This window comes from Homo sapiens, chromosome 22 (genome assembly GCF_000001405.40).
Source record: "Homo sapiens chromosome 22, GRCh38.p14 Primary Assembly".
Classification (NCBI taxonomy): domain Eukaryota; kingdom Metazoa; phylum Chordata; class Mammalia; order Primates; family Hominidae; genus Homo; species Homo sapiens.
This window is the reverse complement of record NC_000022.11, coordinates 26,565,957-26,587,091: the sequence shown is the minus strand read 5'-3', so window position 1 is coordinate 26,587,091 and position 21,135 is coordinate 26,565,957. Positions and strand designations below refer to the sequence as shown.

Below are 21,135 nucleotides of genomic sequence, written 5' to 3'. Positions count from 1 at the left end.
GAACCCCCCACGCTACTCTGAAGGTGACTTCTCTGGGTGGCCACCGGAGTGTCCTATGTGAGTTGCTGCTTATTTCAAGAGGGGCCACCCCCCAGGCCTGAGATGAGCAGTCCTGAGTTACAGACGCTTCATCTGTGAACATTCTGCACACACAGACATCTTCCCCCTCCTCTCAGCACCTTCCCCACCCCTAGGACCCTGTGTTTCTTCCTTCACACTCTTTGCTTCAGCAAGAGGCTGCACCGGAAGAACTCAGGTCAGAACCCAGCGTTTTCACAGAGGAAGAGTTCCTTGAGAAGGTAGGTAGTTCACCCCAGCTTGAACCTGTACTCTGCTGGTTCAGGAACTTAGACCAGCACTTATCTGCGTGTTCCAGTTTCCTGACAACTTGGTTCATCTGGGCAGCTGCTGTTTGGGAATGGTGTTAAGACCACGCCTCCCAGCCGCTGTATCTGGCACCTCGTGACTTTATTCTTTTTTGCATACTTGCCTTTCCTTGTCCTTTTAAAATCCTGAGTTCCTGTGCATTAAGAAAGCAGCCTAGGCCGGGTGCATGGCTCATGCTTGTAATCCCAGCACTTTTGGAGGCTGAGGTGGATGGATTGGTTGAACCTAGGAGTTTGAGACCAGCCTGAATAACATAGTGAAACTCCATCTCTACAAAAAATACAAAAATTAGCCAGGCGTGGTGGTGCGCGCCTGTATTCCCAGATAGCCGGGAGGCTGAGGTGGAAGGATCGCTTGAGTAGAGGTTGCAGAGAGCTGAGATTGCACCACTGCACTCCAGCCTGGGCAACAGGGCGAGATTGTAGGGTATTAGGTCAGTACATAAAAATCAATTAAATATTAAAAAAAGAAAGAAAGAAAGCAGCCTAGGGACATGGAGACGGGGTGGGAAGGCTCCCTAGGCAAGGAACTGCCGCTCTCTGGGTGTCAGTGTACCCTACTGAGGAATGGGCATAGACCATTCAGAACTAAGATGTGGTGGTGCCTTGGGATCGGTTAGGCTGTTGAAATGTATTATTATGATTATTATTATTATTATTTTTGAGACGGAGTTTCGCTGTGTTGTCCAGGCTGGAGTGCAGTGGCGTGATCTCGGCTCACTCCAAGCTCTACCTCCCGGGTTCACGCCATTCTCCTGCCTCAGCCTCCCGAGTAGCTGGAACTACAGGCATATGCCTGACTAATTTTTTTGTATTTTTAGTGGAGACAGGGTTTCCCCGTGTTAGCCAGGATGGTCTCGATCTCCTGACCTTGTGATCCGCCCGCCTCGGCCTCTCAAAGTGCTAGGATTACAGGTGTGAGCCACCACGCCTGGCCTGAAATGTATTATTGATGTGACTTTGTGGGTGTATTTGTAGTAAGAGTGGCAGATCAGATGTAGCTTCACAGCCTGGGGTTGGTGACCAGAATGTACTTTCTTGGAAAAATGCATGTGGCTTGTGTGGCTTTGATGCCCCACGTGGCACCAGGGAAGCTTCTCTGGGTAGCAGCAGCTCCTGCTCCCCGACTTGCTGCCTATTCCGATTGCTTGCAAGTCCCCGTGCCCTCTGAGGACCTGCATGTACCCGGTCTGGGGCCCCTCCAGAGATCTGGGATGACTGTCCCCTCCCGTCACTTCTCAGGTCTCCCCCACCCTTTACTGCAGCCAGAGGAGGATTTGTGGGAATGATTCATTCAGAGCTGCTTGAGATCTTGGCCAGCCCCCAGAAATTGCAGGGAAGGACCTCAGAGGCAGTGCCCACAGGCCCTAGGGAACGTCTGGGGCTGATGGCCCAGGGAGAAACTTCTTATCCTATGTGCTCAGATGGCGGGCAGCCAGCCCGTCTGCCGAGTGACTTTGTATCAGTAAGACTTTTGACTGGGGCTTCTGCAGCCAGAAAGCAGGCAGGCAGCCCAGAAAGCAGGCAGTGTGATAGGGAGCTAGGGGGCACTGGCCTGTATTAGAATCCAGGTGCTCCACATCTTTCTGGGGCTGTTGGCTGTTTCTCTATGCTTTGGTTTTCTCATCTGTTGAATGCAGGTATAAGTAGGACCTATCTTCCAGGGGTGCTGGATGGAAGGGAATGGTGGTAAAGCACTTATCTTGGTACCAGGCAAAAGCTGAGGCCCTGGGGTTAAACAGGCTCTTTGGAATTTTGAACATGTTCGTTTGTGAACCTTAGTTCCTCCGTCTGTCAAAAGGCAACAATTATAAATACAGCCAATATCAACAGGGCTTACTGGGTGCCAGACACTGTTCTAGGCACTGTATGTGGTTTAACTCATTTAATTCCCCCAACAGCCATATGATGTGAACAGGCTGAGGCTCAGAGAGGTGAAGTAATTTGCACAAGGTCACCCAGCTAGGAAGTGGGAGACATAGGATTTGGATCCAGAATCTTTCTTTTTTTTTTGTTTTGGGTTTTTTTGTTTGTTTGTTTTGAGACAGGGTCTTGCTCTGTTGCCTAGGCTGGAGTGCTGTGGCACAATCATAGCTCACTATAACCTTGAACTTCTGGGCTCAAGCGATCATCCCACCTTGGCCTCTCAAGTGCTGGGGTTACAGGCGTGAGCCACCACACCCAGCCCAGACTCTACACTCTGAATTCTCATTCTTACTCCTCCTTGATATCCCATCTTAAGGCCTAGCACATAGAAAACACACAGAAAACATCAGGTGTTGTTATAACTATTCTGAATAAATATTGATCCGCTCTCCATCCCTCTGTCCACACTCCTTCCCTGATGATCAGAACATGCAGGGCTCTTGGCCTGTAAAGTCCAGATTCCCACCCACTCCTCCCTACTCGCTCTGTTCCTCCCACTCCCACACTCTCATGCACAGCAGAGCTTGGAAGCAGCCAAGTCCCAACTCTTCCTCCAAATTGCTGTGTGACATTGGGCAAGGAGCTTCCCCTCTCTGAGCCCCAGTTTCCGTACATGTTAAATGGGTGAGTTCACCCTGCTGCATGTTTTTTGTTGAGCTCCCATGCTACGTGTGTGTTTTTAAAATTGAGTCAACATTCAAACATTTCTAGAGAAAAATTCTGATTTCTCATTTCTCTTGGAAACCCAGGAGCTTAGGCCAAACTGGAGTGGCCTGAAGCTGCCCCTTAGGTGGCCTGGACTCTCCCAGTCACTGTGGTTCCCCCTACTCCCCATTGTCACGTAAGTGCGGCTTTTCAGGGGATCTGAGGATGCCTTAGGCCTGCCTCGTGCCACCTGAATAAGCAGTTCCATTGCTTTAAAAACAATTTTTTTTTTTTGAGACGAAGTCTCGCTCTTGTCGCCCAGGCTGGAGTGCAATGGCATGATCTTGGTTCCTTGCAACCTCCGTCTCCTGGGTTCAAGCTATTCTTCTGCCTCAGCCTCCCAAGTAGCTGGGATTACAGTCGCATGCCACCACGCCCAGCTAATTTTTGTATTTTTAGTAGAGACAGGGTTTCACCATATTGGCCAGGCTGGTCTCGAACTCCGCCTGCCTTGGCCTCCCAAAGTGCTGGGATTACAGGTGTGAGCCATCGCGCATGGCACAATTTTTTTTTTTTTTTGACACGCTCCAAGAGCCCTTCCAGCTCTGTGTTTCTAGGATATTGGAGGTTGTCTGAGGCCTCCTGATACCCTGTCTGCCATTTTAAGCCCTCAAGGCATTTTTTTTTTTTTTTTTTTTGAGATGGAGTTTCCTTCTGTCGCCCAGGCTGGAGTGCAGTGGTATGATCTTGGCTCACTGCAACCCCTGCCTCCTCGGTTCAAGTGATTCTCCTGCCTCAGCCTCCTGAGTAGCTGGGATTACAGGTGCCTACTACCATGCCCAGCTAATTTTTGTATTTTTTTGGTAGAGACGGGGTTTCACCCTGTTGGCCAGGCTGGTCTTGAACTCCTCACCTCAAGTGATCTGCCCGTGTCAGCCTCCCAAAGTACTGGGATTACAGGTGTGAGCCACTGTGCCTGGCCTTTTATTTGTTTTGTTCTTTTTTTTTTTTTTTTTCCTTTTTGAGATGGAGTCTCGCTCTGTTGCCCAAGCTAGAGTGCAGTGGTGTGATCTCGGCTCACTGCAACCTCTGCCTCCCAGGCTCAAGCGATCCTCCCACCTCAGCCTCCCAGAGTGCTGGGACTGGAGGTTGTCCCCATTGCATACTCCCTGTGTGGGGAGTTCCTGTCTCTGGGCGCTAGGGTGCCGTGCCACCTTACCTGGTACAGGCCCCTACCTAACTGTTGTTCCCCACAGTGAGATATTTGTTATTGACCACGCCATTTCCCAGAAGCCAAGGCTTGGAAATAGTCACTTTCCCGAGGTCACACAGGCCTGAGATTCAGCACCAGGACTCAAAGCCCATCTGCCCAACTTCAGAGGCTGTCAGTGGAAGTCATGCCTTGATCCCAGCACTGCACGGATAGCCACTGAGTGACGTCTTCCACTAGAATAAGGACACATGAGAACCCTCAACTGGATGTTGGGGTGCAAGATTTAAGAAGCAACGAGGTCCTAGTTGTCCTGGAGTTTACGTTCTGGTGGAGGCATCAGGCAAGAAAAAGTAACCCACATCTCTGACGTGAGATGTCAGCCTATGAAGTTGAGTACCCAGGCCTCTCAGATCTTAACATGCATATGATCCCCTTGGGGAACTTGTTAAAGTGCAGATTCTGTGTTTTTGGTTGTTTTTGTTTTTGTTTCTGTTTAGATGGAGTTTCGATCTTGTTGCCCAGGCTGGAGTGCAATGGTACAACCTCGGCTCACTGCAACCTCTGCCTCCCGGGTTCAAGCGATTCTCCTGCCCCAGCCTCCCAAGTAGCTGGGATTACAGACACCTGCCACCATGCCCGGCTAATTTTTGTATTTTTAGTGGAGACGGGATTTCACTGTGTTGGCCAGCCTGGTCTCAAACTCCTGACCTCAAGTGATCTGCCTGCCTCCACCTCCCAAAATGCTGGGATTACAGGCGTGAGCCACAGCGCCCGGCTAAAGTGCACATTCTGATTAGCAGGTTTGGGGCAGAGACTAAGACTGTGTTTCTAACCAGTTTCCAGGGGCCTCTGATGGTGTTTGTCTAAAGACCACATTTGGAATAGTGAGGGTCTGGATCAGAAATTGGCAGATTACCACTCATAGGCCACATCCGGCCCGCTACCTGTATTTGTAAATAAAGTTTTATCGGAACACAGCTATGCTTATTTATTGACATTTTGTCTGTGGCTGCTGTTGTGTAACAAAAGCAGAGTGGAGTAGTTGTGATAGAGACCAGAGAGCCCACATTGCTGGCCTTTGAAGAGAAAGTCTGCCAGTTGCTTTTCTAATCATCTTTTGAGTCCCTACAAGTTATAAAACTTTGATTTGGTGAGTGTTAGATGCTGATAAAAATAGTAATGATTGCAGTTAAGACTTGGGTGCTTTCTGGGTACTTAGCTCTTTACGTTTATTTTTCTTAGCTCAATTCTATCATAGGCAATACTACTGTCTCCACTTTACAGGCGAGAAAACTGAATAGAGGCTGGGCCATTGGCCCAGAGTTTGTGGACCAATGAGTAGGTGAGGCCAATTTGAGTCAAGTTGACTGATTCTTATTGGACAGGAGCTTCTGCCTAGAACTTTTTCCCAGAGCACAGAGAGGGTTTAGTTTAGATTTCCTTCTGTCCCAGAGTGTTCTGGTGCCTTCATTTCTTTCTCAATCCATCCTTCTGTTTACTCAACAAATACCTGTGCACCCTGTGCTGGAAGTTTGGGGACCATGCTGGGTTCTGAGAGGATGTGGGGACTAGGATGGGGTCCCAGCCCTGCACATTCCATGGGGTTGGCAGGGAAGCAACACCAGAAGCCACACAGGATGCTAAGCACCTTGGGGGATACTGGTACAGGGACAGGAGGCAGTCAGGGAAGACTTCCTGGAGGAAGGGGTGCAAATGATGCCAGTAGGAGTTAGCTTTGTAGAGGAGGTCAGGAAAGGTTTTCCAAGGAGAGAGAATCACAAGTGCAAAAGTTTGGAGGTGTGAGACTCTGTGGCCTGGTATGTTTGGTAGAGTTCAGGGCACAAAGACTATAGTGTGTGTGTGTGTGCGTGTGTGTGTGTGTGTGTGTGTGTGTGTGTGTGTATGTATGTTGAGGGTTGGGGGAATCGGTGGTGTTATAATAAAATTGGAGGTCAGCAGGAGTTAAGTCACAACAGAGCCTCAGTGCGATGCCAAAGGACTTGAATTTTGCCCTGGAGGCTGCTGTTGCCTAGTATGAAGTGCTAAATCACAGAGCGAAAGTCTTCCTCCCCACCCTCTGATGACTTTCCGGAGAAAGCCTCCATTAGGTGCTAACGCGTCTTTAGTGCTTCTCCCCAGACTCCTCTTGTTTAACAAAGATCGGACACAACCGGCTCCTTTGGGGATCCTTCCTTAGGCTGGCGGCCGTCTCTAGCCAGAAGGCATAAAAAAACATTGCTTCCTTCGATTTTATTTTTGCATTAATTTTTTAATTAGGGCATGTTTTAAATTTAATCCAGTGGATTATAGTTTCCCTTGAAAATATGTTTTAAAAATATTGGATCCATTGAACAAAAATGAATACGATTAAAGGGGGTTCTGGATGTAATTAACATTGGGAAGGTAGTGTTCAGAAGCTTGGAATTTGGAGAGCCCCACAACAGGTGAGAGGGCTGGAGGGGGCTGGGCCAGTAGTCACCTCTCTCTCAACATTCCCCTTCTTCCCTGGATACCCAGGGGCCTTGACTGAAGGGCGGGATGGCTGTGTAGCTAAGATGTGGGTGCAGGGATGTAGGTGCCCGTTGATGGTGTAGGAGCTGAGGTTCCTGTTCCAGGCTGCTGCTAGTGCTCATCTCTCTCCTTCTCTGTCTGGTGATTTTCTTATTCTTCTTTTCTTTCTTTCTTTTTTTGAGATGGTCTTGCTCTGTTGCCCAAGCTGGAGTGCAGGGGCAGCATTGCAGCCTTGAACTCCTGGGCTCAAGCAATTCTCCTGCCTCAGCCTCTCGAGTAGCTGGGACTACAGGTACAGACCACCACACCTGGTTCATTTTTTATTTTTTGTAGAAATGGGGTCTCACTATGTTGTTCAGGCTGGTCTTGAACTCCTGGGCTCAAGCAATCCACCTGCCTCAGCCTCCCAAAGTACTGGGATTACAGACGTAAGCCTCTGTACCCAACTTGTCTTGGTTTCTATTTTTGTCTCCCTGCCTCTCTCTCCCTCCCACCCATCCCCCCAACTCACGTCTTTCCCTGTCTCTGTCACTCTTTCTGTCTTACTCCCATCTTTGCCTCTCCTCTGACTCTCTCTCCCCATCTACATCCTCTGTCTCTATCTCCCTCTGTCTCTGCCTCTGTCTGTTTTTTTCTCTCTCTGTCTTCTTCCGCCCCAATCTGCACCACTTCCCCCTTCCTTCCCGCTGCCGACCCCAAGCCCACACAGGTGCCAGCACGGCCCTTCCTTTCTCTCATTAAAAACTTTTCATCCCACTTGCTTTGGCTGGTGGCTGACATCCTGCCACAGAACCATCCGGACCCTTGCAGAGCCCGGGGGCTCAGCCAGAAACCTTTGGAGGTGTGAGAAAGTGGTAGTAGCTACTTCCCAGGTGGAAGACAGAGGCCCTGTGGAGTCAGGCACCTGGCAAGGCCGCCCTACAAGGCCATGGTTTCCTCTCAACCCACACCCTTTCCACGCCCCCAGGGCCCTCCCTTCCCCACCGGGCCCCAGGGCTGTGGGGAAGAAGAGGAAGCCTGGGCTAGCAGCAGGACGGCAGATGCTGTTTTTGGTTTGATTTGGTTTGGGGTACTGGGGGAGTGTCGGCTACCCTTCCTCTGAGCACTGCTGGAAGCTGCATGCAGTAGGTGCCTTTGCCCTTCATTCTGCTACGTGGTCATTCCTTGCTCAAGTGCACAGTAGACCAGCAGTGCATATTTGATGGCTAAGAGTTTTGGGAAGAAAAACAAGGTTAGAAACTGAGTCTTGCCTCCAGGCTGGGCACAGTGGCTCACACCCATAATCCCAGCACTCTGGGAGGCCAATGCGGGCGGATCACTTGCGTGAGCTCAGGGGTTCAAGACCAGCCTGAGCAACATGGCGAAACCCTGTCTCTACAAAAAAGTACAAAAATCAGCCGGGCATGGTGGTGCATGCTTTATTCCCAGCTACTTTGGAGGCTGAGGTGGGAGGATTGCTTGAGCCTGGGAGGTCAAGGCTGCAGTGAGCCAAGATCACGCCACTGCACTCTAGCCTGGGTGACAGAGTGAGACCCCGTCTCAAAAAAAAAAAAAAAAGAAAGAAAGAAATAGGGTCCAGCTTTTTCTTTTCACAGATGGGGAAACTGAGGCCCAGAGAGTTGAGGTAACTTGTTCTGGATCATGCAAATAGCTTGGAAATAATGGGGTCTGGGTCTTCCATGCCTCAGAAACTGGGAACAGTGCACCCCTGTGTTGAGCTGGTGGCTGCTTTGACATCCCTCAGCGGTTGTTGTGTAGACACCGACTTCTGAGAGATGGGAGATTCTGGTTCGAGGCCTGGTTTGCTCTCCTCTACCTACTGCGGGACTCTGGGCAAAATCTTCCTTCTCTGAGGACCTTGGGGTCCCCAGGCATAGTCCCCATGGCACAGTCCTGAGGATCGCAGAGCGTGGTCAGGTTTGCAGGGTCGGAGGTTGCTGACCTCACCGTGGATGGAGGGCTTCTTCAACACAGGTTGCTGTACCCCACTTCCAGAGTTCCCATTCAGCGTGGTCTCCTTGAGCCCTGATAATCTGCATTTTGTGTAGGTTCCTAAGCGCTGTTCCTGCTGGTCAGAGAACCCACGTTGAGAGCTGGGGTAGTAGAGGTGCAGCAGACGAAGCACACGGGCGCTAAAACCTGCTGTGAGATCTCAGGCAACGACTTCACCTTTCTGTGCCTTGGCTTCCTCAGCTGTAAAATGGAATGACAGAGCACTGTCCTCATAGATTAGTTGTGAGGATTAAATGAGCGATTGGGAGGCGGAGATGCGCGGATCACCTGAGGTCAGGAGTTCAAGACCAGCCTATATAATTGATTTTAATTGAAATTCCTTTTGGTAATTCTTAAAGATAATAATACATTTTGATGTTTACTCATGAACATTACTGATATTCCTTCCTCCAGCTACATGATAATGTTTTCTCTCCTGTGGGTGAGATCTAAGAAATGAAACTCGGCCAGGCATGGTGGCTAATGCCTGTAATCCTAGCACTTTAGGAGGTCTAGACCTCCTCCTGAGGTCAGGAGTTTGAGACCAGCCTGGCCAACATGGTGAAACCCCATTTCTACTAAAAATACAAAAATTAGCCAGGCATGGTGGCTCAAGCCTGTAATCCCAGCTACTCAGGAGGCTGAGGCAGGAGAATCACTTGAACCTGGGAGATGGAGGTTGCAGTGAGCCGAGCTTGTGCCACTGCATTCCAGCCTGGGTGGCAGACAGAGTGAGACTCTGTCTCAAAAAAAAAAAAAAAAAAAAAAATGGCCGGGTGCAGTGGCTCACACCTGTAATCCCAGCACTTTGGGAGGCCAAGGCGGGCAGATTACAAGGTCAGGAGTTCGAGACCATCCTGGCTAACACGGTGAAACCCCATCTCTACTAAAAAAATACAAAAAATTAGCTGGGCATGGTGGCACACACTTGTAGTCCCAGCTACTACTCGGGAGGATGAGGCAGGAGAATCGCTTGAACCTGGGAGGTGGAAGTTACAGTGAGCCAAGATAGTGCCACTACACTTCAGCCTGGGCGACAGAGCGAGACCTTGTCTCAAAAAAAAAAAGAGCAAATATTTGTAAAGTGTGTAGAAAACCCCCCAGGCACACAGTAAGCACTATATGCATGTTCACTTTTTTTTTTTTTTTTTTTAAAGACAGGGTTTTGCCCTGTCACCCAGGCTGGATTGCGGTGGCATGATCATAGCTTGCTGCAGCCTTGAATTCCTGGGCTCAAGTGATCTCACCCTCCCAAGTAGCAGGGACTACAAGTATGCACCACCACGCTTGGCTAATTTAATTTTCTTTTTTTTTTTTTTTTTTGCAACAGAGTCTCGTTCTGTCGCCCAGGCTGGAGTGCAGTGGCGCAATCTCAGCTCACTGCAAGCTCCGCCTCCCGGGTTCACACCATTCTCCTGCTTCAGCCTCCCGAGTAGCTGGGACTACAGGCATCTGCCACCACGCCCGGCTAATTTTTTGTATTTTTAGTAGAGACGGGGTTTCACTGTGTTAGCCAGGATGGTCTCAATCTCCTGACCTTGTGATCCACCCGCCTCGGCCTCCCAAAGTACTGGGATTACAGGTGTGAGCCACCGCGCCCGGCCTTTTTTTTTAGAGACAGGGTCTTGCTATGTTGCCCAGGCTGGTCTTGAACTCCTTGTCTCAAGTGATTCTCCCACCTCAGCCTCCCAAAATGCTTGGGATTATAGGCATGAGCTACTGTGCCCGGCTTTGTCTTACTATTATTGTTGTTATTCTTATTGCCATGATTATTTACCTTCCCCTCCTCCACAAAGACAATTCTGTTCACAGTGAATTCCTTGCCATTCTCCAAATTTCCAGTGTGCTTTCACACTTCTACCCGCTGCTCGAGCTGTTCCTTCTACTTGGGACGCTTCCTCTAACTTCTGCACGTGTTAAAATGCTGGCATTCTTTTCGACTCAGCTCAGATTCCTTCCTCTGATGTCTGTGATGACATGACTTGCTTCCCCTAACCAAGCTCTTATTTCATTCTGTGAATTATCCTGTTACTTGGGTGTCAATCTCCTGTGCTGACCCTCAGGCTCCTGTAGATCTGACTTGGGGCTTTGCTGGTACAGAGAGTCTCCCAGGAATGTTACTTTCAAAGTCCAGCTTTGATGGTGTTTCAAGAAGACCAGCTCCATCGTTGTCAGTGGCAGCTGTCAGAGAAGCCTTCCAAGGCATATGGGGTGGAGCCCCATTGGGACGTGGGATTTCCTTAATTAGTAAGAGTGTGAACTTAGCACTCCACAGTCCCAGGTTCATGTCTGTGTTTTGCCATTTAGTGTGATGCAGCCTCGGATAATTTCCTTAAATTTTTTTGTGTGTCCTTTGCATCTTCATTTTATTTTATTTTATTTTATTTATTTATTTTTTATTTATTTACTTATTTATTTATTTTGAGATGGAGTCTCGCTCTGTCACCCAGGCTGGAGTGCGGTGGCACGATCTCGGCTCACTGCAACCTCCGCCTCCCAGGTTCAAGCAATTTTCCTGCCTCAGCCTCCTCAGTAGCTGGGATTACAAGCACACATCACCAGGCCCGGCTAATTTTTTTGTATTTTTAGTAGATACGGGGTTTCACCATGGTGGTCAGGCTGGTCTGGAACTCCTGACCTCATGATCCGCCCACCTTGGCCTCCCAAAGTGCTGGGATGACAGGCGTGAGCCACTGCGCCCGGCCTGCATCTTCATTTTAAAAGGATGCCATCATCATTTACAGCAGCGGGTTTTTGTGAGGATTCAGTGGGGTCTCATTTCTGCAGCAAATATGAGCACCTCCTGTGTGCCTGCTCTATGCCGGATGCCGGGAATCCAGCAGTGAGCAGGAGAGACCCTGTTCCTGCCCTGGGAGAGCTGATATTTTAGATGGACACAAGGGGAGGTATAGAAATGATAGTGTCGCTGTCTCCGGAGGATGCAGCAGGAAGGAGATGGTCTTTGAGAAGTGTTCTGTGCGTGGTCTTGCAAGTAGGAGGCCCTTAGCAATTGGTAAGTGTGATGATTACTGTTATTGCCGTAATTATTTGGGAGAGGAGGCAAAAGGGGAAGGGAGGCATTGTGGGAAGAGGGAATAGTTTCAGTACAGGGTCAAGAAGGCATTCGGTGTCAAAGTCGTAATATTCACAGCCAATGTTTATGGATGCCCTAGTGTGTGTCAGGTACTCTGCTAAGGACTTCCTAGGTGCAAATTCATCTCAACCTCCAGGGAAGTGCTGTGTTATCCCCATTTTCCAGATGAAAGACATAGGGCACGGGGGAACTGAACCACTTGTCTGGGGAAGTGGAGGGGCGGGAGTCAAACCTAGATTCTTACCCCTGCATCTAGGGTGTGTGATGGGAAATGAGACTGAGTGGGGACAGGTCCTCATAGGGAGGGCTCAAATCTTGACTGTCCTCCTGCTGGAGTCCCTTAGATGGTCCCGGGATGGACAGGGTGGGGAAGTTCATGGCACATCTCATTTTATGGTCCAGAAAGCCAGTGGCATGCAGCCCCTCCAAGAGTGGGTAGGAAAGGATGGCTCCTCCTGGACCCCTTCTAGTTGGGTTCTCCTGGTTGGTGGCAAGTCCCTGGCGGGGCTGGAGTTGTGGGAGGTGATAGGCACAGTGCAGCCCATGGTTGGGAGCCTACATTCTGGGTGGTGAGGATGCTGGTGAGTGCTCCTTCATTGCAAGGATGCAGTTGCTCACTGTCGCCTTTTCCTCGTTTCTGCTCTCTGAGACCCTCTCTACTTAGGACTGGGCATGAGGGGAGCCCAGGAGAAAAGCAGATAATGAGGATCCAAGGGACTTGTATTTGTCTCCAGCCAGTCGCCTCCCAAATACCTATGGCTTGCTCGTTCCTGGGCAAACAGGTGCCTCAGGCAGTATCTTTATCTTTTGTGTGTGTGATGCCATTGGAACCTCACAGTGACCCGTGAGGCAGGCATCAAGAGAAGGCCTGTTGTTGTGGGATGATAGCAACTCTCAAGTCAGACACACTTGAGTTAGAACTCCAGCTGGCTTATGCATGAGCTTTGAGACCTTGCTCCAGACACTTCTCTGGTCCTCAGTTTCCTCATCTGTGCAACAGGGATCATAATAATGATTATTTTGTGGGTGACAGATAATAGTTATATGGCATCTAATGCATAGAAGTGCTCAGTAATTCATAGCAACGAAAATTTTGTTGTTCTTCACCCATTTTACAGATAAGGAAACTGAGGCTCAGAGAAGTTAAGGGACTCTCCCCATGGCATTTTGCTTCCTGGTAATGGCCAGGCAAGTTTGCAGATGGAAATACTTTCCATAAAACCCAGGTCCCCCAAAGCCCTGCACCATTAGGAAAAGGCTGTTCCCCAATTGTAAATCTGTCCCCCAAAACAGTGAACCATGAGATCATGCCCCTTCTCTCTCGTGGGTTTCTCCCTGTGATGTTTTAAGTGTTCATACTCTGAGCAGCTCTTAAAGCCTTTGCAATTCTTCCGGTTCTTCCTGCTTCTAGGAGTGAGTGAAAACGAAGAAGATATCACAGTCTGTCCAGGAAGGAAACAGAGGAGCAGGTGAATGCTCAGGAAACCGGATTCGTAGTATGCACTACCCCAGAATTGGGGCTGGCAAATTCTGCTCTTAAAACCCCCACCTAGAGCCAACTGCTGCCCCTAATAATATGCCCAAAATATTACCAGGACGAAGGCCTCATGCTTCCTGGATGAACCACAAAAAAAAAGGTTGAGGCCATCTTGTTGAGGAACATTACATCCAGCAAGTATTTATTTATTGCTTGCTTTGTTCTTGGTCAAGCCTTTTCACTTTTTGGCCATCAGCCATTGCAAAACCTCCACAACAAAGAAGTGGAAAGTCATGCAATCAGAAAAGCCATAAACTACAGCTGGGGCCAGGGGAAGAGGGAAGTTAGCTGAAGACTTTGTAAGCAGAAACATCAGGAAACCTTCTGACATGTTAATAAAGATACTCTAGAGTCACATCTTGTGTGGAAACTCAAATCCGCATTGTTGGGGCGGAAGTCGGAGTCAGTGACTGGCCCCAGCTGTCACCCCGAGCCTTCAGATAAGACGGTGGAACTAGGCAGGGCGCCGTGGCTCACGCCTGTCATCTTAGCACTTTGGGAGGCCAAGGAGGGTGGATCACTTTAGCCCAGGAGTTTGAGACCAGCCTGGACAACATAGTGAGACCTCATCTCGACAAAAAATAAAATTAGCCAGGTGTGGTGGTGTGTACCTGTGGTCCTCTCTACTCGAGGGGCTGAGGTGGGAAGATTGCTTGAGCAGTCCCTGGAGGAAGAAGGTAGAGCCAGGAACTATCATTAATTAAACACTTAACCAGCTCTAATATGGTAGTAAAGCCCTTATGTGTATTTAGCTGCTCTCCCGATTCACAGATGAGAAAAATGAGGCCCAGAGAGGTTAAGTGATTTACCTGAGGTCACAAAACTAATAGGTGGGGAATTCAAACTCAGGCGCATCTTTCTGCAAAACGCATTCTTTTTTCACTACTCCCTGATATCTGAGGAAACTTATTGATGAGCAAAATGACCTGAAAAAAATAAAATGTGAATGCCTCTCAGTGTCAGGCTCTGTGATAAGTGTAGGAAAAAAAGAAAAAGAAGAAGAAGAAAAAAAACCCACCAGACTGCAATGCCTCCCAGCCCGTGAGCACTCACAGTGGAATATGGGAAACAGAAGGGCAAACAGCATTTACCATACAGAATGGTGAGTGGTAGGCAGAGGGGACTGTGAGACATAGGAGGGTAGAGCTTAATCTAGTCGGGGTATTCAGGGAAGGCTTCCTGAAGAAGGAGATACTTTAGCTGAGGAGATAAGCAGCCCAAGATAAGGTGGGAAGAGGGTATGGACCCATCTATTAGCTAGGACTCTTGATAAACAGAGACAGAAACCCAGCTTCCATAGCATTGAGCAAAAAGGTAAATTTATTGGATTATGTAAGAGGTGAGCCTCAGGTATGGCTAGATCCAAGGACTCAAGTAATTTTAGGGATTTGTGTCTCCATCTCGGCTCCACCTTCCTAGGTTGGCTTTGCTCTCATGCCAGCTTTGCAGGTGGTGACTAGAGATGGCCCCACACCTCCAGCCCTATACCCTACTTGCTTAGCCTCCCCGCAGAATTCTGTAAAAGTCTCCAGTTGAGTTTCATTGACCTAGATTGGGTCAAACGTCCATCTTTGAACCAACACTGCAGTCTGGGAATGAAATGCTGTGATTGGCCAGGCCTAGGTTATGTGTCTGCACCAGGGGTCGAAGGTGGACTGAGAATGAAAATAAGAAAGCCAGGGATGCATGGCACCCTTGGGGCTGATAGAAGGTCCATGGGGCTGGAGAAGGGGTCTGATCATGACACCCCTCTAAGCCACGTGAAGAAATTGCATACTGAAGACAGTGGGAAGCTTTGAAAGTATAGTGAAGGCGGGGGTGACATGCCACCATATGGGGACAGGCAGGGGTGGAAGCATGATCAGGTGGCGGACAGTGGGGACTTGGACTGGGCTGCTGGTGATGGAGAGAAACAGTTGGATCCTGGGGGTGTTGAGTGTAATGCACAGGACTCAGTGGTGATTGGATCAGGGGTTCATGGGGAGGAAGAGGTTCATGATCTTGGGTTTCTGGCTTGTTCCAACAGGCAAGCCTGGAAGAGAAACCAAGCTCAGGAGATCCTATTAGGAGTTTAGGTTGATTGTGTTGAGTTTGAAATGCTGTCAAGCATCCAAGTGACAGACTAGTGGAGAATTGGCCATTTCACGGTTGCTATGCTGAGAGGGGCCGGTCAGGATTCTGTGGCCTTAGGAGAAGGGGTGCAGAGTGACAACTCTATCTAGTAAATATTAATTGACCACCTACTGAGCTGCAATGCTCCGGAAACAGAGCATTCAAGGCTCCCAGACAATGAATGCAGAATATGTAAGTCAATCATATGATGTGTTAGAAGGTGGTGAGTGCTGGGGGAAAAAAAAAATCACGCAGGGTGAGGGCTTCTGGAGTGCCGTGTTGGCGGGGCAGGTTGCAGCACTAACTGGTTGATCAGAAGAGGCCTTGAAGAAGTGCGATGTGAGAGAGGACAGGAGGGTGAGAGAGTGAGCCAAGTGGATGTTTGGGGAAAGGGCATCCGGGCAGCGGGCACAGCCAGGGCACTGGCCCAGAGGAGGGAGGGTGCTTGTGTGTTTGAGTGACAGCAAGGGGGCCAGCGTGGCTGGAGAAGAGGCAAGGGCCAGTGGGGTTGGGGGCAGAAAGGTAAGGGGTGGGGTCAAACCTGTAAGGCAAATGAGGACTGGTTTTTCCTGAGTAAAGTGGGAGCCATGGGAGGATGCGGAGCAGAGGAGGGCCATAGCCTGACTTCCGTTTTCCTAAGGTCACTGTGGCTGCTTGCTGAAAATCAACTGATGAGACAAGGGCAGAATCAGGGAAGCTAGTGATGAGGTGGCTTGGACCAGAGTGGTAAGAAGTGAACGCCTGAAACAAACGTCTGGCAGTGCGGGTGGTGAGAAATGGCGGATTCTGGCTCTGTTTTAAAGGTGAAGTTAACAGGAGTTGCTGCTGGATTGGATTAGGGTGAGAAAGAAGAATCAAAGCTGCCTTCAAGGTTTTTGGCACCAGCATGAAAGGATGGAGCTGCTACCAGCTGCAGGTGGGGTATGCTGCTGCTACCAGCTGCAGGTGGGGTATGCTGGGGAAAGGACCAGGCTCAACACCCAGGTGCAGGGAGGAAGAGAGTGGGCAACTGTGTCCAAGTGAGGAGAGAGATTTGGGTTCAAGATGACAATTCAGGAGATGTCAGCCTGTGGGGAGCATCCAGGGGCGCTAGTATCTCCTGAACTGGAGGGAGGAGAGAGGGCCACAGTAGCCAAGTGTGACCTCCTGATACCTGTGCCAGAATGGCTGGGTTTGGCCCCGCATAAGGAAAAACCCTGTAAACGTTTTCATGGGGCTGTAGAGAAAGAGGAAGACAAGCAGACATAACCTCCTTGGCATCTGATCAAAAGCCACCGTGGCCTGGCTGCTCATTTATTGAGTGTGGGTCTGGGAGGTGTCCATGCCAGGAGCCGGGGTGTGGGTGGCATGATCAGAGGCTGAAGCTCAATTGTCCTTGAAGTTCCTGGCGCCCAGGACCGACTAGCCCTGGGAGAGCGCCGTCCTGCAAGTGTTGATTGAATGAATGCAAAGAGTCTTGTGTGTTCCTCTGCAGCAGCCGGGAAAAAAAAGTGTGTGGGGTGGAGTGGGGCGGGTAGCATACCCCAGCCAGCAACACCATTCCTCAGCATTTGACAAAGTGTGATTAATTAATTTTTTTCTCTCTTTCTTTTCTTTCTTTCTTTCTTTCCTTCTTTCTTTCTTTCTTTCTGTCTTTCTTTCTTTCTTTCTTTCTTTCTTTCTTTCTTTCTTTCTTTCTTTCTTTTTCTTTCTTTTCTTTCTTTCTTCCTTTTTTTTTTTTTTTTTTGACAGAGTCTTGCTCTGACACCCAGGCTGGAGTGCAGTGGCATGATCTCGGCCCACTGCAACCTCCACCTCCCAGGTTCAAGCAGTTCTCCCTGCTTCAGTCTCCCGAGTAGCTGGGATTACAGGTGCCTGCGACCACGCCCGGCTAATTTTTGTATTTTTTAGTAGAAACAGGGTTTTACCATGTTGGCCAGGCTGGTCTTGAACTCCTGACCTCAGGTGATCCTCCTGCCTCAGCCTCCCAAAGTGCTGGGATTACAGGCATGAGCCACCGTGCCAGGCCATTAATTTTCTTTTTTTTTAGGAGACAAAGTCTCTCTGTTGCCCAGGCTGGAGTGCAGTGGTGTAACCATGGCTCATTGCAGCCTCCAGCTCTTGGCCTTGAAGTGATCCTCTTGCCTCAGCCTCCCAAAGTGTTGGTGTGAGCCACCAAGCTTGCTGAAAGTGTGATTCGTTAAGACTATTTTTATTCAAGTCTAACGTGTATACAGAAAAATGCATATTTCATACGCATACAGCTCAATGAATTTTCAAAAGACGAATGTGTCTGTGTGACCAGCACCTGGATCAATAGCTGAACGTACATAGCACCCCTCCCTGCCCCAGGACACCTTGCTCCCCCTGCAGTTACCCCTTGCCCCACCGGGGTAACCACCATCCTGACATCTCCCCCTAGAATTTCACCTGTTTTTGTACTTTGTATCCATGGAACTGTTACTGGAACGGGGTCCCGATCCAGACCCCAAGAGAGGGTTCTTAGACGTTGTGCAAGAAAGAATTCAGGGTGAGGCTGGGCGCGGTGGCTCACACCTGTAATCCCAGCGCTTTGGGAGGCTGAGGCGGGCGGATCACGAAGTCAGGAGATCGAGACCATCCTGGCTAACACAGTGAAAGCCCGTCTCTACTGAAAATACGAAAAATTAGCTGAGCGTGGTGGTGGGCGCCTGTAGTCCCAGCTACTCGGGAGGCTGAGGCAGGAGAATGGCGTGAACCCAGGAGGCGGAGCTTGCAGTGAGCCGAGATCGGGCCACTGCACTCCAGCCTGGGAGACAGAGCGAGATCCGTCTCAAAAAAAAAAAAAAAAAAGAATTCAGGGTGAGTTCATAAAGTGAAAGCAAGTTTACTAAGGAAGTAAACAAACAATAGAATGGCTACTGCATAGACAGAGCCTCCCAGAGGACTGCTGGTTGGCTATATTTATGGTTATTTCTTGATCATATGCTAAATAAGGGGAAAGGTGTGGGCAGTTCCCAGAACTGAGGGTTCCTCACCTTTTTAGACCATATAGGGTAACTTCTGGCATTGCTATGGCATTTGTAAACGTCATGGCGCTGGTGGTGGGAGTGTCTTTTAGCACGCTCATGCATTATAATTGGCCTATAATGAGCAGTGAGGATGACCAGAGGTCACTTTTGTTGCCATCTTGGTTTTGGCGGTTTTGTCCGGCTTCTTTATTGCATCATGTTTTATTAATGGGGTCTTTACGACCTGTATCTTGTGAAAGCAGTCCTGCTGACTTCCTGTCTCTGTGACAAAGAATGCCTGACCTCTTGGGAATGCAACCCAGCAGGTCTCAGCCTCATTTACCCAGCCCGTACTGGAGAGATGGAGTTGCTGTGGTTCCAGTGCCTCTGACAGAACCACGCGTTATGGTCTTTCTTGTGCTGACTTGTTTCGCTCATCACAGGTGTTGTTATTGCGTAAGGTTCTGGCTTGTTCTTTCTCCTGGCTGTTTAGTATATATCTGTTTATTTGTATTTACTTGTTTATCCATTCTATTGCCAATGGGCATTTGGATAGTGTCCAGTTGGGGGCAATTACGATCATGCCACCGGGAACATTTTGATATGTGCCCTTCGGTGAACAGTTGAATGCATTTCTCATGGATGTATAATCAGCAGTAGAAATGCTGGGTTGTAGAGAAGGTGCACATTCAGGCTTTGTCTCAGTTAAGCCAGAGTTTTCCAAAGGGGTTGAACCAGGTTTCCCTCCTGCCAGCAGAGTATGAAAGTTCTGGTTGCATTACATCCTTGCCAACACTTGGTATCCTTTTCTTTTTTTAGTTATTTAGTTATGTAATGATCCCACAATGTACTTTAAATTTGCATTTGTTTCCCCGATGGATATGAGTTTGAGCACCTTTCATATGCTTATTGACCACTTAGATAACCTCTTTTATGAAGTATGTCTTCAGACGTTCCCATTTTTCTGTTGTGTTGCCTGTCCTTTTTTAAATTGATTTCACAGAACTCTTTATATGTTCTCAGTATAAATATTTGTTTGAGATGTATTATAAATATCTTTTTTCATGCATGACTTCATTTGATCCATAAGAGGAGGAACCGGGAATTTTAAGCCTCAAGGTCATTGGAATCCAGGACAAGCTTCACATGTGTGAGCCTCAGTTTCCCTCTCTAAATCCTGTGGATATTAGCTCATTGACTGGTGTATAGATGGAACTGTGACTGATATTAGCATCTTTTGCTGGGATGAGGAAGCCCTGAATTAAAATGGGCAAAACTGGCCTTGCATGGCTTTCAACCTAAGTCATCCCTGTTTCTCAGGTCTGTATACCAACTTCCAGGCTAGGCCTTGAAAATAAACAGTGAGCAAGGCCCATTTCCTACCCTTGGAGGGGACTGCACCAGTGGTGAGCGCAGGGGGCTGTGGGATCCCAGCAGAAACACTAACTGGGCTAAGGCATTGTGGAAAGCTTCCTGGAAGAGGTGAGTCTCAGGGTGGAGTAAGCCTCTTCTGTTCAGGTACAGGCTTGGGCACCTTTGTGCATCAGGCACTGGACAGGTACCTGGGAGATGGAAAGAATCGGCTTAGTCTCACCCCCTCTTACCCCGCAATAGACCAGTGTTCTTGATGGGGATGACTGCACCCCCAGGGGGCAGTCAGCAATGCCTGGGGACATTTTTGGTTGTCAGGACTCAGGGAGGGGATGCTACTGGCATCTCCTTGGTAGAGGCCGGGGATGCGGCTAAACATCCTACAATGCATGGGACAGCCCCACCCCATACTACCACAAAGAATGATCTGGTCCAAATGTCTATAGTGCAGAGACTGAGAAACTCCAAGATGGACAATTACAATACGATATGAGCGGGGGAAGAGAGGAGAGCAGAGGGATTGGGAGTGTTGTCCTGGCCTTAAGGAGTTTGTTTGTTTGTTTGTTTGTTTATTTACTGACTTTGAGACAGAGTCTTACTCTGTCATCTAGGCCGGAGTGCAGTGGCTCAATCTCGGCTCACTGCAAACTCCGCCTCCTGGGTTCAAGTGATTCTTCTGCCTCAGCCTCCTGAGCAGCTGGGATTACAGGCGCCTGCTACCATGCCCAGCTGATTTTTGTATTTTTTTTTCTTTTTCTTTTTCTTTGTCTTTTTCTTTTTTTTTGAGACAGAGTCTTGCTCTGTCACCAAGTTGGAGTTCAGTGGCGCGATCTCAGCTTACTGCAACCTCTGCCTCCCAGGTTCAAGTGATTCTCCTGCCTCAGCCTCCCGGGAGTAGCTGGGACTACAGGTGCGTGTCACTACGCCTGGCTGATTTTTGTATTTTTAATAGAGACGGGGTTTCACTATGTTGGCCAGGATGGTCTCGATCTCTTGACCTTGTGATCCGCCTTCCTCGGCCCCCCAAAGTGCTGGGATTACAGGCGTGAGCCACCGCACCCAGCCTAATTTTTGTATTTTTAATAGAGACAGGGTTTCACCACGTTGTCCAGGCTGGTCTCTAACTCCTGACCTCAGGTAATCTGCCTGCCTCAGCCTCCCGACGTGCTGGGATTACAGGCATGAGCCACCGTGCCTGGCCAGGAGTTTATTAACCTTCATGCCCACCACGTCAACCACAAACCACGTGTGGCTGCAGAGCCCTCGAAATGTGGCTGCTGTGGCTGAGGAACTGAATTTCAAGTCTTTATCTATTTTAATTTCAGAACAGATACTCATTCCCATTCTTGGAAAACTTTTAAGTGTGTGTACAACAGTTT

General features: G+C 49.0%; 1 protein-coding gene across 4 annotated transcripts in view, besides 11 other annotated features; it reads left to right on the top strand.

Annotated features, from left to right (window-relative positions):
* The window catches only part of TPST2 (tyrosylprotein sulfotransferase 2), a 68,137-nt gene that overhangs the window by 3,041 nt on the left and 43,961 nt on the right, over positions 1–21,135 (top strand). The gene's annotated exons all lie outside the window — the stretch shown is intronic.
* Positions 5,483–6,400: an enhancer, noted in NCBI's record as "OCT4-NANOG-H3K27ac-H3K4me1 hESC enhancer chr22:26976657-26977573 (GRCh37/hg19 assembly coordinates)". NCBI's record gives its function as "activates a minimal SCP1, AML or CMV promoter by ChIP-STARR-seq in naive H9 embryonic stem cells {active_cell/tissue: H9 hESC(naive)}" and the evidence as "EXISTENCE:reporter gene assay evidence [ECO:0000049][PMID:30033119]".
* Positions 5,483–7,369: a biological region, named in NCBI's record as "OCT4-NANOG-H3K27ac-H3K4me1 hESC enhancers GRCh37_chr22:26975739-26976656 and GRCh37_chr22:26976657-26977573".
* Positions 6,134–6,428: a silencer, noted in NCBI's record as "tiled region #8544; K562 Repressive non-DNase unmatched - State 17:Gen3'". NCBI's record gives its function as "represses a minimal TATA promoter and a strong SV40 promoter by Sharpr-MPRA in K562 cells {active_cell/tissue: K562}" and the evidence as "EXISTENCE:reporter gene assay evidence [ECO:0000049][PMID:27701403]".
* Positions 6,401–7,318: an enhancer, noted in NCBI's record as "OCT4-NANOG-H3K27ac-H3K4me1 hESC enhancer chr22:26975739-26976656 (GRCh37/hg19 assembly coordinates)". NCBI's record gives its function as "activates a minimal SCP1, AML or CMV promoter by ChIP-STARR-seq in primed H9 embryonic stem cells {active_cell/tissue: H9 hESC(primed)}" and the evidence as "EXISTENCE:reporter gene assay evidence [ECO:0000049][PMID:30033119]".
* Positions 7,290–7,369: a silencer, noted in NCBI's record as "silent region_13571". NCBI's record gives its function as "represses an Ori minimal core promoter by ATAC-STARR-seq in GM12878 lymphoblastoid cells {active_cell/tissue: GM12878}" and the evidence as "EXISTENCE:reporter gene assay evidence [ECO:0000049][PMID:35858748]".
* Positions 7,510–7,559: an enhancer, noted in NCBI's record as "active region_18793". NCBI's record gives its function as "activates an Ori minimal core promoter by ATAC-STARR-seq in GM12878 lymphoblastoid cells {active_cell/tissue: GM12878}" and the evidence as "EXISTENCE:reporter gene assay evidence [ECO:0000049][PMID:35858748]".
* Positions 17,759–18,282: an enhancer, noted in NCBI's record as "NANOG-H3K27ac-H3K4me1 hESC enhancer chr22:26964775-26965298 (GRCh37/hg19 assembly coordinates)". NCBI's record gives its function as "activates a minimal SCP1, AML or CMV promoter by ChIP-STARR-seq in primed H9 embryonic stem cells {active_cell/tissue: H9 hESC(primed)}" and the evidence as "EXISTENCE:reporter gene assay evidence [ECO:0000049][PMID:30033119]".
* Positions 18,283–18,806: an enhancer, noted in NCBI's record as "OCT4-NANOG-H3K27ac-H3K4me1 hESC enhancer chr22:26964251-26964774 (GRCh37/hg19 assembly coordinates)". NCBI's record gives its function as "activates a minimal SCP1, AML or CMV promoter by ChIP-STARR-seq in primed H9 embryonic stem cells {active_cell/tissue: H9 hESC(primed)}" and the evidence as "EXISTENCE:reporter gene assay evidence [ECO:0000049][PMID:30033119]".
* Positions 18,283–19,330: a biological region, named in NCBI's record as "hESC enhancers GRCh37_chr22:26963727-26964250 and GRCh37_chr22:26964251-26964774".
* Positions 18,554–18,848: a silencer, noted in NCBI's record as "tiled region #407; K562 Repressive non-DNase unmatched - State 17:Gen3'". NCBI's record gives its function as "represses a minimal TATA promoter and a strong SV40 promoter by Sharpr-MPRA in K562 cells {active_cell/tissue: K562}" and the evidence as "EXISTENCE:reporter gene assay evidence [ECO:0000049][PMID:27701403]".
* Positions 18,807–19,330: an enhancer, noted in NCBI's record as "OCT4-NANOG-H3K27ac hESC enhancer chr22:26963727-26964250 (GRCh37/hg19 assembly coordinates)". NCBI's record gives its function as "activates a minimal SCP1, AML or CMV promoter by ChIP-STARR-seq in primed H9 embryonic stem cells {active_cell/tissue: H9 hESC(primed)}" and the evidence as "EXISTENCE:reporter gene assay evidence [ECO:0000049][PMID:30033119]".